At 37.5% G+C, this 13,823-nt stretch overlaps 1 long non-coding RNA gene across 1 annotated transcript, besides 1 other annotated feature; it reads right to left on the minus strand.

The window, feature by feature from the left end:
* Positions 1–382: 382 nt before the first annotated feature.
* Positions 383–10,537, minus strand: LOC107984856 (uncharacterized). The gene is made up of 3 exons (XR_001752251.1): positions 10,369–10,537; positions 2,591–2,730; positions 383–634 (listed from the first exon to the last, which is right to left on the minus strand). It is a non-coding gene; the product is annotated as an uncharacterized LOC107984856 (long non-coding RNA).
* Positions 655–949: a silencer, noted in NCBI's record as "tiled region #11065; HepG2 Repressive DNase matched - State 8:EnhW". NCBI's record gives its function as "represses a minimal TATA promoter and a strong SV40 promoter by Sharpr-MPRA in HepG2 cells {active_cell/tissue: HepG2}" and the evidence as "EXISTENCE:reporter gene assay evidence [ECO:0000049][PMID:27701403]".
* Positions 10,538–13,823: the final 3,286 nt, after the last annotated feature.

Genomic DNA, 13,823 nt, shown 5'->3' on the forward strand with positions numbered 1-13,823 from the left:
ACCAGTCTGCTGAAATTATTACCATCTCCACACTCACCAACAATGATGTGGTAGATGGCAGGGGAGTATTCATCACCTGAAAATATCTAATCACAGTAGAGACCTTTCATATTATCATTAAAATTCTTAACTGCCCCCAGCCTGATTTCTTTTAGGCAAAGGTCCACAGGCCTTATACATTTCATGGTTATTTTCTCTGGTTATGGAGGCTGTACTTTTTCTAGTGTCTCATTTTTGTCCTCCTCCTCCTTTCATTCTTTCAGTTCAAATGGACACAACCTGGTTCCTATCACCTAGAGATGTATTAACCTTTCCAAATCCTGACATTGACTTCCTAGAAAAGTTCCCTGGAGCTCTGTAGCTGTTGGGGAAGAGAGGCAGCTTGGTTTTGACTTTAATATACATTTCGAAATACCTTTTGCAGGACGGCTGGAAATAAGGAACTAATAACAAAGCACTTCTAAAATTACCGGTACATCTGAAGCATTCCACCTGGTGCACAGCCTTTGAGAGTCTTTAATTCATCAATTAAGTGATCAAAGATCTTGTTCAAGATACGATTACATTTCTTTGGTTCTGTTTGCGCAATCGTACTAAAATTGATAGCATTCTGAAAATCAACCGGGTTCCAAAGCTAAAAATAAAAACAGACAAAATGACATCCAAACATTCATCACTTTCCAAAAGCAAGGCTATGATTAGTCCTTAACTATCCTGGAATATGACTGCTAGGACAAACCATTCCACAATGATGATGTCAAAGGAGGAACTTGAAGCTTCCACCCTCTTTAAAGCAGCTACTATGCATTTACGTTGTAGCCAGGCCCTTTCAGAACTAGGATGTGGCTAAGAGGCTAGACAGAGAAGTCCTGGCTGCTGGCCAAAGCCAACTCCAAGAGCAAATAATTTCAGTAATATAGAATAGAGGTCTTTGAGTGACTGCCGATGACCTTTGTCACGTACACAGGATTAGTCTTCCTTATACCACTAAAATCAAAACAATGCCGTGGCCCAAGAATCAGAAGGAAATGTTTCTTAAGTTACCACAATTCTTCTTAATCCTTGTTTCCCAAGGGCCAGTTATTATGATTGCATTTTGTCTGAATAATCTTGATCATCTAAAAGAGGAGTTAGTAAACTATGTCTGTAAAAGTTAAGATAACAAAGAAACTGTGGGCCCCTCAGTCTCTTTTGCAACCACCGCATTCTGCAATCGTTTCATGAAAACAACTATAGATGACATGTCAATGAAGGGGCATGGCTGTGTTCCAATAAAACTTTATTCACAAAAATAGGCACTGGTCCAAATTTGGCCCGTAGTCAGTAGTTTGCTGGTCCCTGCTCTGTAACATGGTCATGACTGTAATCCACACTTGGAAAGTTTAGTCTACATCACTAAGTTTGCATGGACTTCAAGAGCATTCTTCTTCTTGTGCTGGGTAGTTTGAAGGAGGATGCTTGCTGAGTGTGATGGTTTTGGGACAAAAATAGATTTGGTCTGATAGGGGGAGAAGTTACTGAGCCACCAGTGTAACTTCGTATGATTTCCCCTTCAAAAAGTTCATTTTACTCTCCAAATTTTTAGGCAACATTGTTTCTTTTTAAAGAACATGAGATTTCACATTGCATCCCAGTTATTTACTACCTGAGTTTTGGTCTTAACAAATAGGATTTTGTTATTCTCTGTCATCAACGGAGCAAGCACATGTGGTTTTGATTGACAAAATTGTGATAAAATTCACTGTATCCTTAAAAAAAAGTGATTGAAAAAATTTCAGACTGCTGCAGAAAATGTAGGGGGGAAACGAGGGGATTGAATTTCAACCAAAGACATGCCAGATTTTTTTTCTTGCTCTTAATATTCAACATTCTTCCACTACTCAGTATCTAATTAGATACTGGAACAATGCAGGGATCATGTGTTTCTCTTTAAGCTTTTGGCACAGTCCATCACACTCTAGTTAGCATTGGATACACTGAGGTGCTCCTCCAGAAACCAGTACTGAGTGACATCACGTGCTATGTCACAAACAATGGAACAAAAATTAAGGGCGCATGCTCTCAGACATTCAAAACACTTGCAGTCATTTCGGTTTTCCCTTTTTTCATTTACTTCAAATCCACATTCATTTTGATGCTTGAATACCCTCCCTTGTCTCCCAACTTTTTTTCAGAAACAGGTATCCCTTGCTACCCAGAGTATTTTCTGCTTCTCAGAAAAATCACAATTCATTTTAAAAAATCATATGGGCCACTTAATAGTTATTGTTTGAGCTCTGTGGAAATGATTGGCTTGACTTATGACTAACAACAATAAACACAGTGTATTTATTGCAAACACCATGGCCAGCCACCATATAACATACATAGGTCCTTACATACAGATAGTCAGAAAGTGAGAATGAGTATCAAAGCTGTCTGCTATGTGATTGTTTCCTTCACAGACTGACAATATGAATATCTGAGAACCAACATCCCATCTTCATGCTATACCCTTTCGAATAGAAAACTAGAGAAGGAAATTATGTAACTCATCAATTGCTAGAGAAATGTTGAGGACGCCAAAAAAAATACACAGACATACTCAGACCTTTTTAAATCTGGAAACATGTGTTGTTTGTGAAGAAGCATAAATATCCTAAAACTCTCTTCCATATGTCTGCTTTCCTCCCATTGGGCTACATTCCCAAGAGGCTCTAGTAGTTCCAAATTTGGCTTCTATGCTTGTATCTAAAATATGAAAAATTAATGCTGAGCAGGCTTTATAAATGGTTTTCATCACAGTAATATTAAAATATTGCATATAATTGTGTTTTAATTAAAATGATGCCTTAAAATTTTAATACATATTTGTACATATTTATGGGATGCATGTGATATTTCAACACATGCATAAAATATGTATAATGATCAAATGAGAGTATTTAGGATATTCATCATCGTGAACATTTACCATTTCTGTGTGGTGTGAATATTTCAGACCTCCTCTTGTAGATCTATTTTAAATATACATTGTTAATTTTAAGATATATATTAACTATAGTGACTCAACTGGGCTATCAAACACTAGACTTATTTCTTCTATGTAATCTTATGCTTGTACCCATTAAACAACCTCTGTTTATCTCCCACCCCCGACCCCACACACACCCTTCCCAGCCCCTGCTATCATTCTACTCTCTACCTTCATGAGATCAACTTTAGCTCAGACACGAATGAGAACATGTTATTTATTTTTCTGTGCCTCACTTATTTTACATAACGTAATGACTTCCAATTACAGCCATGTTGCTGCAAATGACAGGATTTCATACTTTTTATGGCCGAATAGTATTCCATTGTGCAGATATACCACATTTTCTTTATTCACTCATCTGCTGATAGACATTTAGGTTGATTTCATATCTTGGCTATTGTGAATAGTCCTGCAATGAACATGGGGTGCAAGTATCCCTTTGGTTCACTGATTTTCTTTCCTTTGGATAAATACCCAGTAGTAGGATTACTGAAATGTATGGAGCTCCATTTTTAGAGCTATTTTATTTTCCATAATAATTTACATTCCCACCAACAGTGTATAAGAGTTCCCTTTTCTCCACATCCTTGCCAGTTTTTGTCTTTCTAATAACAGCTATTCTAATTGGAGTGAGAGGATTATCTCATTGTGGTTTTGACTTGCATTTCCCTGATGATTAGTGATGTTGAGTATTTTTCTATATACTTGGCTATTTGTATGTCTTCTTTTGAGATATGTCCATTTAAATCCTTTGCCCACTTTTTAATGAGATTATTTGGGATTTTGCTTTTGAGTTAATTGTATATTCTAAATATTAGTCTCTTGCCAGATGAATATTTTTGCAAATATTTTCTCCCATTCAACAGGTTATTTCTTCATTCTGTTGATTATTTCCTTTGCTGTGCAGAAGCTTTTTAGTGTAATATAGTCCCATTTGTCTATTTAAGTTTTTATTGCCTATGCTTTTGGGATCTTAGCCATAAAATCTTTGCCTAGACAAATGCCCTAGAGCATTTCCCCTAAATTTTCCTCTAGTAGTTTTATAGTTTTGAGTCTTACATTTAAGTCTTTAATTCATTTTGAGTTAACTTTTGTCTATGGTGAGAAACAGGGATCTAGTTCATTCTTCTGCATATTGATTTCCAGTTTTCCCAGCATCATTTATGGAAGGGCGTTTCCTTTCCCCAATGTATGTTCTTGGTACCTTTGTCAAAACTCAGTTGGCTATAAATTCAATTGGATTTGTTTCTGGGTTCCCTGTGCTGTTCCACTGGCCTTTGTGTCTGTCTGTTTTGGTTGCTATAGTTTGTAGTCTATTTTGTAGTCAGGTAGTGTGACACCTCTAGCTTTGTTCTTTTTGTTCAGTACTGCTTTAGCTGTTTGGGCTCTTTTGGGCTCTTGCGATTCCATATTAATTCTGTAATTGTCTTTTCTATATCTGTGAAGAAAGTCATTGGTATTTTGCTAAGGATTGCATTTAATCAGTAGATTGCTTTGTTTTATGGTCATTTTAATAACGTTAAGTTTTCTGATCCATGAATATGGGATGTTTTTTCATTTGTCTATGTTCTCTTCCATTTCTTTCATCAGTGTTTTGTAGTTTTCCTTGTAATGGCCTTTCATCTTCATGGTGACATTTATTCTTAGATATTTTATTTTTTTGTAGCTATTGTAAATGGGATTGCCTTCTGGATTTTTTGGCTGTTCATTATTGGTTACATTTTTTGGCTGTTCATTATTGGTACAAACGCTACCAACTTTCATACTTTGATGTTGTATCCTGCAACTTTACTGAATGTATTAGTTCTAACAATATTTTGATGGTGTCTAGGTCTTTCTATAGGTAGGATCATATCATCTGTAAAGAGGGACAATTTGACCTCCTCTTTTTCAATTTGCATGTTTTCTTTCTTTTGCCTGATTATTCTGGCTAGAACTTCTAGTACTATGTGGAATAGAAGTGGTGAAAGTGGGCATCCTTGCCTTTTTCCTCTATGAACTCATAGAGGAAAGGGTTTCAGCTTTTACCCATTCAGAATGTTAGCCATGGGTTTGTCATTTATGGCCTTTATTAAGTTGAGGTATATTTCTTCCACGCCTAACTTGTTGACAGTTTTTACCATGAAGGGATGCTAAATTTTATGAAATGCTTTTTCCATATATGTTGAGATCATCTTGTGGTTTTTGTCCTTCACTCTGTTGATGTATCACATTTATTGATTTACATATATTGAACTATCCTTGCATCCCTGGATGAATCCCACTTGACCATGGTATATTATCTTTTTAGTATGTTGTTGGATTCAGTTTGCCAGCATTTTGCTGAGGAATTTTGCATCTATATTCATAAGGGATATTGTCCTCTAGTTTTTAGTTGTTGTGGTTGTGTCCCTCTCTGGTTTTGTTATCAGTGTAATGCTGGCCTTGCAGAACAAGTTAGGAAGAATTCCCTCATTTTAAATTTTTTGGACTAGTTTGAGAAGAATTGGTGTTAGTTCTTGATAACTTTGGTAGAACTAGACAGTAAAGCCATCTGGTCCTGGGCTTTTATTTATTGGGAGGTTTTTTTAAATTACTGATTTAATCTCATTATTCATTATTGTTCTGATTAGGTTTTCTATTTCTTTATGGTTCAGTCTTGGTAGATGTTATGTGTCCAGGAATTTATCTATTTCTTCTAGGTTTTCCAGTTTGTTAGCATATTGTAACTTATAATAGTGTCTGATGATCTTTTGCATTTCTGAGGTATCAGTTGTAATGTCTCTTTTTTCATTTCATTTCTGATTTGGGTCTTCTCTCTTTTTCCTGGTTAATCTAGCTAGTAATTTATAATTTTATTTTTTAAGAAAACCAACTGTTCATTTTGTTATAATAATTCTTTTTAAGTTTCTAAGAAAATTTCAGGCCTGCTCTGATTTTTATTATTTCTTTCCTTCTAATTTTGGGTTTGGTTTATTCTTGCTTTTCTAGTTTCTCAAGGTACATGATTAGGTTTTTTATTTGCAATCTTCCTACTTTTTTGATACAGGCATTTATTGCTATGAGCATTCTTAGTATTTTTTTTTCTTTATCTCACAGGTTTGGCTATTTTGTGTTTCCATTTTTAATTGTTTCAAGGCATTTTTATTTCCTTCTTAATTTCTTCATTGATCCAATGGTCACATTCAGGAGCATACTGTTTACTATTCATGTATTTTTACAGTTTCCCAAGTTCCTTTTGTTATTGATTTATAGTTTTATTCCATTGTGGTCTGAGAACATATTTGATTTCTTTTTTTTATTTTTTGACTTGTTTAGTGGTCTAACATATGTTCTATCCTGGAGACTGTTCCATGTGCTGATAAGAATATGTATTCTGCAGCTGTTGGATTAAATGTTCTATAAATGTCTCTTAGATCCATTTGGTCTACACTGCAGTTTAAGTCTGATGTTTGTTGATTTTCTGTCTAGAATATCTATCCAGTGCTCAAAGTAGGGTGCAGTAACCAACTACAAATGTAGAGAAGTCAATCTCTTTCTGTAGATCTAATGATATTTGCTTTATATATCTGTAGCTCCAGGGCAGGATGAATATTTATTTACAGTTGTTATATCTTCTTGCTGAATTGATCCCTTCATTTTAATGACTTTGCCTTTCTTTACTGGTTTTGATGTAAAGTCTGCTTTATCTTATATAAGTATAGCTACTCCTGCTCTCTTTTGGTTTCTGTTTGTGTAGTACATCTTTTTCCATCCCTTCAACATTCAGTCTTACGTGTCTTTACGGGTGAAGAAAGTTTCTTGTAGGCAACATATAAATAGATTATGGTTTTTAACCCATATGGCCAATCTGTATCTTTTAAGTGGGGAATTTAATCCATTTACATTCAAGTCCATTACTGGTAGGTGAGAACTTATTTCTGTCATTTTGTTATTTTTTTAATTGCTTTATATATCCTTTTTCTTATCATTTTGGTTTAGTTGGTTTTCTGCAGCATTAACATTTGAGTCCTTTCTGTCATTTGTGTGTCTGCTCTACCAGTGAGTTTATAATTTTTTTTGAAACGGAGTCTCACTCTGTTGCCCAGGCTGGAGTGCAGTGGTGCAATCTCAGCTCACTGCAACCTCCGCCTCCCAGGTTAAAGTGATTCTTGTACCTCAGCCACCCAACTAGCTGGGATTACAGGTGTTTGCCACCATGCCTGGCTAATTTTTGTATTCTTAGTAGAGACGGGATTTTGCCATGTTGGCCATTCTGGTGTCAAACTCCTGGCCTCAAGTGATCCTTTTGCTTCAGCCTCCCAAAGTGCTGGGATTACAGGTGTGAGCCACCACACCCAACAAGTTTTACACTTCCATGTGTTTTCATGATGGTAGGTGTTGTCCTTTCACTTACAGATGTAGGACTCCCTTAAGCATTACTGGTAGGGCTGGTCTGGTGGTGATGAATTTTCTCAGTTTTTGCTTATTTGAAAATGATTTTATTTCTCCATCATTTTTGAAGGATAGCTTTGCTGGGTACAGTATTCTTGATTGACGGAGTTTGTTTTTTGTTTTTTTGGTTTTTTCCTTTCAGCACTTATACTATATCATCCCATTCTCTCCTGGGCTGTAAGGTTTCTACTGAGAAACCCATTGTCTGATGAGGGCTCTCTTACATGTGACTTGATGCTTTACTCTTACCATTTATAGAATTTTCTCTTTGTCGTGACTTTTGACAGTTTGACTATAGTGTGCCTTGGAGAAGACTTTTTTGGGTGGAATCTATTTAGGGATCTTTGAGCATCCTGTATCTGGATGTCTATATTTCTTGCAAGACTTGAGAAATTTTCAGCTAGTATTTAATTAAATCAATTTTCTATGCTTTCACCTTTCTCCTTTTGGAACACTCAAAATTCAAACAGTTGGTTGATTTATGGCATCCCATGTCATATAGGCTTTTGTTTGTTTGACTGGGTTATTTCAAAAGACCTGTCTTCAAGTCTGTACATTCTTTCTTCTGCTTGGTGTAGTCTACTGCTGAAGTCTGACTGTATTTTTATTTAGTTCATTGAATTCTTCAGTTTTAGGATTTCTGTTTGATTTTTTATGATATCTATCTCTTTGTTGCACTTTTCATTCAGATCATGATTTTTTTCTGATTTCTTTGTATTGTTAATCTGTGTTATATATGAGTTTTCTTAAATCATTATTTTGAATTATTCAGGCATTTCATAGATTTTTCATTGGAATCTGTTGGAGAAGTTTTTCTTTCCTTTGGAGATGTCATGTTTCCTTTCTTCTTCACATTTCTTCTGTCTTTACATTAATACATGTACATCTAGTGTAATAGTTGCTTCTTCCAGTATTTTGGATTGGCTCACATAGGAAAAGACTTTTTTCCTATCAATTTATCGACAGTGTTGGCTAGGTAGGGAATTCCCACTTTGATTCTGGGTGCATGTAGTAGTGTAGTATCCATATGATTTCTCCTGCTGCAATCAGCAGCACTGATATCTCTGAGTTTTTCAGTTGCTCAGGTTTGTAGCTGTTAGTGGAGGCCGTGGTGAGGCTTTGCTGAGAATGGAGATGCCAGGTAGGACAGTTTTCAGGCCCCATTGGTGGCAGTGGTGGGCTGACCATACCCATCCTTTGGCCCCAGGTGGCATACACAGGCATTAAGATCAGCAGGTCTAGGTGGGCTGATTCTTGGGCCTCCAAGTGGCCTGCTTGGGTGCTGACAGTAGCAGTGGTGGGTCATGGCAGGTGGGTGTGTCCTTGGGCCCTTGAGCAGTGTATGTGGCATGGGTAATGGCAGTAGTGTTGTCAAGCCAACCCTCAGGCTTCCAGGGGCACATGTGGGCTCTAGCAGTGGCATGGGCAGGCTGGGTAGGGCAGTCCCCAAACTCCGAAGTGGTGTGGGTGGGTGGGTGGATGCTGGGAGTGGTGGTAGTGGCAGGCTAGGTGGGCCCATCCACAGGCCCCTGGGAGGAATGTGCAGGCACCAATGGTGGCAGGTTGATCCCCAGACCCCTGGATGGTACATTTGGGTACCAGAAGCAAGCAGACTGGGCCTGTTGTCAGACATGTGATGATGACACATGCATACACCAGAAGTAGCAGGCAGGGCAAGTCAATCCCAAGGTTCCTAAATGGCTCACTTGGTCACTGGCAAGGGCGGTACCAATAAGGGAAGACCTATCCTCAGCCCCACCCCATCCCGCCCTGATGGTGTACATTAGCACAGGCTGTGGTGGGCAAGATAGGGCAATCCTCAGGCCCCTGGACACTATTCTTGGATGCTGGTGGCAGGCAGGCTGGATCTTCATTAGGCTCCCCAGTGGTGAGATCACATATCAGAAGTGGAAAGCAAGGCAGGTCAATACCCATGTCCGCAGATGGCATCCTCAGGTACCAGTGGCAGGCAGGGTAGGCCTGCTATCCATGCCCCTGATGTGGTGTGTGTATGCCCGAAGCAGCAAGCAAGATGGCCGAATCTCCAGGCCTGTGGCTAGCATGCTCAGGCACTGGCAGCACGTGGGCTGGGCCTGCTGATAGTGGATGCATGGATTAGGAGCAGCAGCCAGGGTGAGTCAATTCCAAGGCCCCCAGCTGGCATGCTCAGGTACCAGTAATAGTGTGCAGTGTGGGCCTCTCCTCAGCCTTGGAACAGTATTCATCAGACCAGTCTCCAGGCCCACTGAAGGCATGTGCAGGTGTGCAGCTGCCCTGCGGCCGAGGGTGGGATGGGTTCTGTCAGTAGAGCAGCCCCAGGCAGGTAGCTGCCTTTGGCCACCTTTATCCAAGGGGCCGTGTCCCCTGTGAGCTTCACTCCTGTTTTATCGGCTGTAAGGCATTGTATGGGCCAGAATGCTGGGGACCCAGCCACACCATGGGGTCTACCTGGTATCATGATGCTGTAGCACTCTGGGTAGGTACAGTGGGGATGTCAGCAGGGATTCAGAGATATGGAGATACAGGGGCTGTTGGGCCACAGAACAGGATGTGGTCTAGTATGGGCTGGACTCTCAAAAGGCAACATGCTATAGCTGCTTTGGTCTCAGGGTGGGTGTGGGACTTGGAACAAACTCTCCCTCTGGAATGATGCTCTCACATGGGCATCAGGCAGCTCCCTCTACTAGCCTCGGGATCCTCAAGGGCCGAGGGGCTCTCCCACAGCTAGGATTGCAGAAGTCTGCAGTGAGAATATGGACAGCTGATGATCTCTCACTTATCCTTTCGCTGTACTGCAGAGCTTCTCCTGGCTCCTAGTCTATCCCAGCCAGGCTGGCTACCTCACTTCCTTCTGCGCCTCATTTCTTCACTGTCACTTCCCTGCTAAATTCCAGTGTTCTCTCTTAGATGTTCTAATTGATGTGTGATGATCTACTCACTGTTTTGGTCCTTTTTTGTGGAGGAGGCAAATGCCAGGCGGCTCTACTCAGCCATCTTGAAGCCCCTTTCCATTAAGTTCTTTTTAAATTAATTTACCAACAATCGGAATTTCTTAGGTCATTTCTGATTTAAGATATACTTTGAAGAGCCATTTATCAGATGATCTTCACCTACTGGTATTAGGGAATAAGAACTTTATTTATACCACTTAACAACACAAAACATCTATTTAGTAATATTGCCCTATAGCTACAAATATTGGACTATTAACAAAAATTCTTGACATAATATATTAAACATTTTATTTTTGATGACCTCTTACAAAATATCCTTTTCAGAGTTGAAAACAATAAAGTACAGAACCTTTCACTGGGTCATCACCTATATGCAAAATATCATGATATATTATGGTCCTGAAATGCACGTGCATTCTGGTATCAGACATTTTTGCTTACCAACACCAGAAGGTAAGCCATATCACTTATTTGGTTTATTGAAAGATCCTAGTAAAGTGACAATCACCCCATATGGTTCCCACAAGCCACACTGAACTGTTCAACTGACCTACCACTAACTAATCAGTTCTTCATTTCTTACTTGCTTTTCAGTAGTTCTTTTCAATTTTCTCTTTTTCTGTATCTTCATTTTGTGCTATTTCATACTATCTCCAAAACAGAAATGTGGGCTTTGAGCATTTAAGAAAAACAATTTCAAAACTGTATGAAGTGAATTCAACTCAAAGGATGGGATGGGCATAGTTTTGGTGAAAATATGAATAATTTCTATTATTTCTAAAGCCAAGTCAAGTATTTAGCCAGGGCCTGATTCAAAGCAAAAACACAATAAGAAAATGATCTCAGCTCATCTTCATCTCTCTGGTTGAAGGAGCAATAATAGCTATATCCAATTTTTATAGGAGTCAAAGAGATGCATGTAATGATTCTTCTATATATATAAATTAACAGTGTTTTAAAAAGGGAATTCATTATGTTATAAACAATTAAAAATGTATATAATGCAGCTTTCTTCGATCCAGAGTTCTGTTCTGTGAGTGGAACTACCAACCTATTATTTTAAAGTTTGCCTTTATATTGAAGTTTCTCAACTGCTTTTAATTATTTTCATTTTTCTTCCCTGAATCTTTTCTAGGTACATTACACTTTTACTCAATTACAGCAAACAAAGTAACATAGGATGGCAATTCTGGGAGCAGATACGTTATGGTCTTAAAATAGTATATTGTTATATGTTAAAAGGCGTAATAAGTCCTATATACAAGTCTGCACAAAATCTCAAATTGTTTTCTGCCTCAATTCTCAGCTGCAGGAATAGGTGTAGTTTTTTCTGGCTGGCTCCTACAGTAACTGGCAAGAGTCAAGATGGAAAAAGGTTTCTTTCCTTACTCATTAACCCAGAGAATGCTGCCAACTACTGTTTTGTTTAAGCTATTATTTTGGTCAGCTTTGAAAATTAAAAATATATATACAGTAATAAATGCTTTGGGAAAAAGCATGGTCACCACTTATAGAAAATATATAGAATATATTCTGAAACTCCACCTCAAAAAAATGCTGATGAAAATTAAAATGAGTATATAAGTCATGATTCAAAAGGTAGGAAACAGTGAAAATATATTCTAAAAAGCTCCAAAAGAAATCAAAGTAATATAGATTAAGCTATCTATCATAATAATACATATAAATAAGTTAAACACTCAGACAAAAATTCCTAGATTACATTTAAAGAAAAAATACAATTTACCTAAGCACTTAAAAAAGTGACACAGAAAAGTTGAAAAGTAGAAGGATAGAAAAAGATATGGCAGACCAACATAGACCAAAAGAGAGTAATAGTTCCTATGTCAGTAAAAGCAAAAAAACAAGGCCAAAAGTATTCAATGAATAAAGAAAGTATTATGTTCACAAAAGGTACAATATATATAATGCTATAATAGTCATTAACACTTATACATGGAAAAACATTGCCCTGAAATAGAAAAATAAATTTAAAAGAAGGAAAAATTAATAAACATAAGAAACACCAGGGTATAAATCTGACACATTAGTCAAAATGTAATAATACCTTCACACAAATCAAACATTTTAATAACCATGGAATTTAACATTAGTTTGCTATATTACCTAAAAAGAAATACTGACTAAATTCCAAACAGTAAAAATTACACAGGAAGTATTTTTCATTTTCTGTCCACAGTATAATGAACACTTAAGCATAAGCAAAACCAAATAGAACAAAACAAAAACCTTCAGCAATTTGAACACTTTTTTAGACCTCCTAATAGAAATTCTCAGATTATTTAGGAACTAATCACAATGATCATACCACTGCAGCAATGCTTAAGCTGCACCTAAAGCTATGCCCAGAGGCAAATTCATAGCCTAAATTGTTAGCTTATTAAACATTAAAGACTCAAAAGAAATGGCCTGAAATATTCAAATCCGAAAATTATGTAAGTGTGTGCATGTATTTAATGCATATAGTATAATTTTAAAGAACCCCATGTGCTAGCCCATCACAATCAACCTCTATACTTACAGGGGAAATATTAATACTTGGTGGTCAGCTGCTATCTACTATCTGTGGATGGAGAAAGGAAGACCTGCCAATAATGCACCACTGATATGCTTGGAGAACACTCTAACAAGAAAAAAAATGAAAAAAAAAAAATACCACTAAAACCAACATGAGCCTACACTAGCGATAAATACTAAACGACCTGCATCAGAAGTTCCCAAACACTGGTCTATACAAATAGTATCAAATTATTGGGTACCTATTGTAAAAAGTAACATTTGCACGTCTTTCCCTGGAACTTTCAAATTAGAATCTCCATGAGTAGTACATAAAGGTCTCTATCATAGTTACTTTTGGCAACCCACTAGATGCGGATCTTAATTTGTTAGTATCAGGCAATAAGGAAAATGTACCTTGTGTTAATGCAGAAAACAATAAAGAACATTTAACTTCAAGTCTCACTGAGATGAAAGAGGCTATTTCATCACTGAAGAAAGAGTAGAATAGAAAAAAAGGAAAAAGGAGGAGGAAGAGAAGGACAAGCCACCATCATCTAAGAACAAAAATGAATTCTTTGAAATAAAAAAAAGAATGAGGGTGTTTAATAATGGCAGTGAAGGGCAGAATAAAACTTACGAAAACAAAATGAGTGAATCAGAGGCCAGGAAGAATTCTCCATGCATAAGAGTTCTTAAAAGAGCAATTAGAAGAATAGGACGGCTTTGCAATGTGTTGGTTTGGTGAGACTGAACTACATTTCCCAGAATTCCATTTCTTGTATATACATACATCCTAATTATATACCACTGTTCTACGTAATTATCCATCTAATCTTCACAGCCATGTTACAAGCTTGATTCCATAACTATCCACATTTTAAAGGTAAGGAAACTGAGGCACAAAAGTTTACATGGTTTGC

The sequence above is a fragment of the Homo sapiens genome, chromosome 16, assembly GCF_000001405.40.
Source record: "Homo sapiens chromosome 16, GRCh38.p14 Primary Assembly".
NCBI lineage: Eukaryota > Metazoa > Chordata > Mammalia > Primates > Hominidae > Homo > Homo sapiens.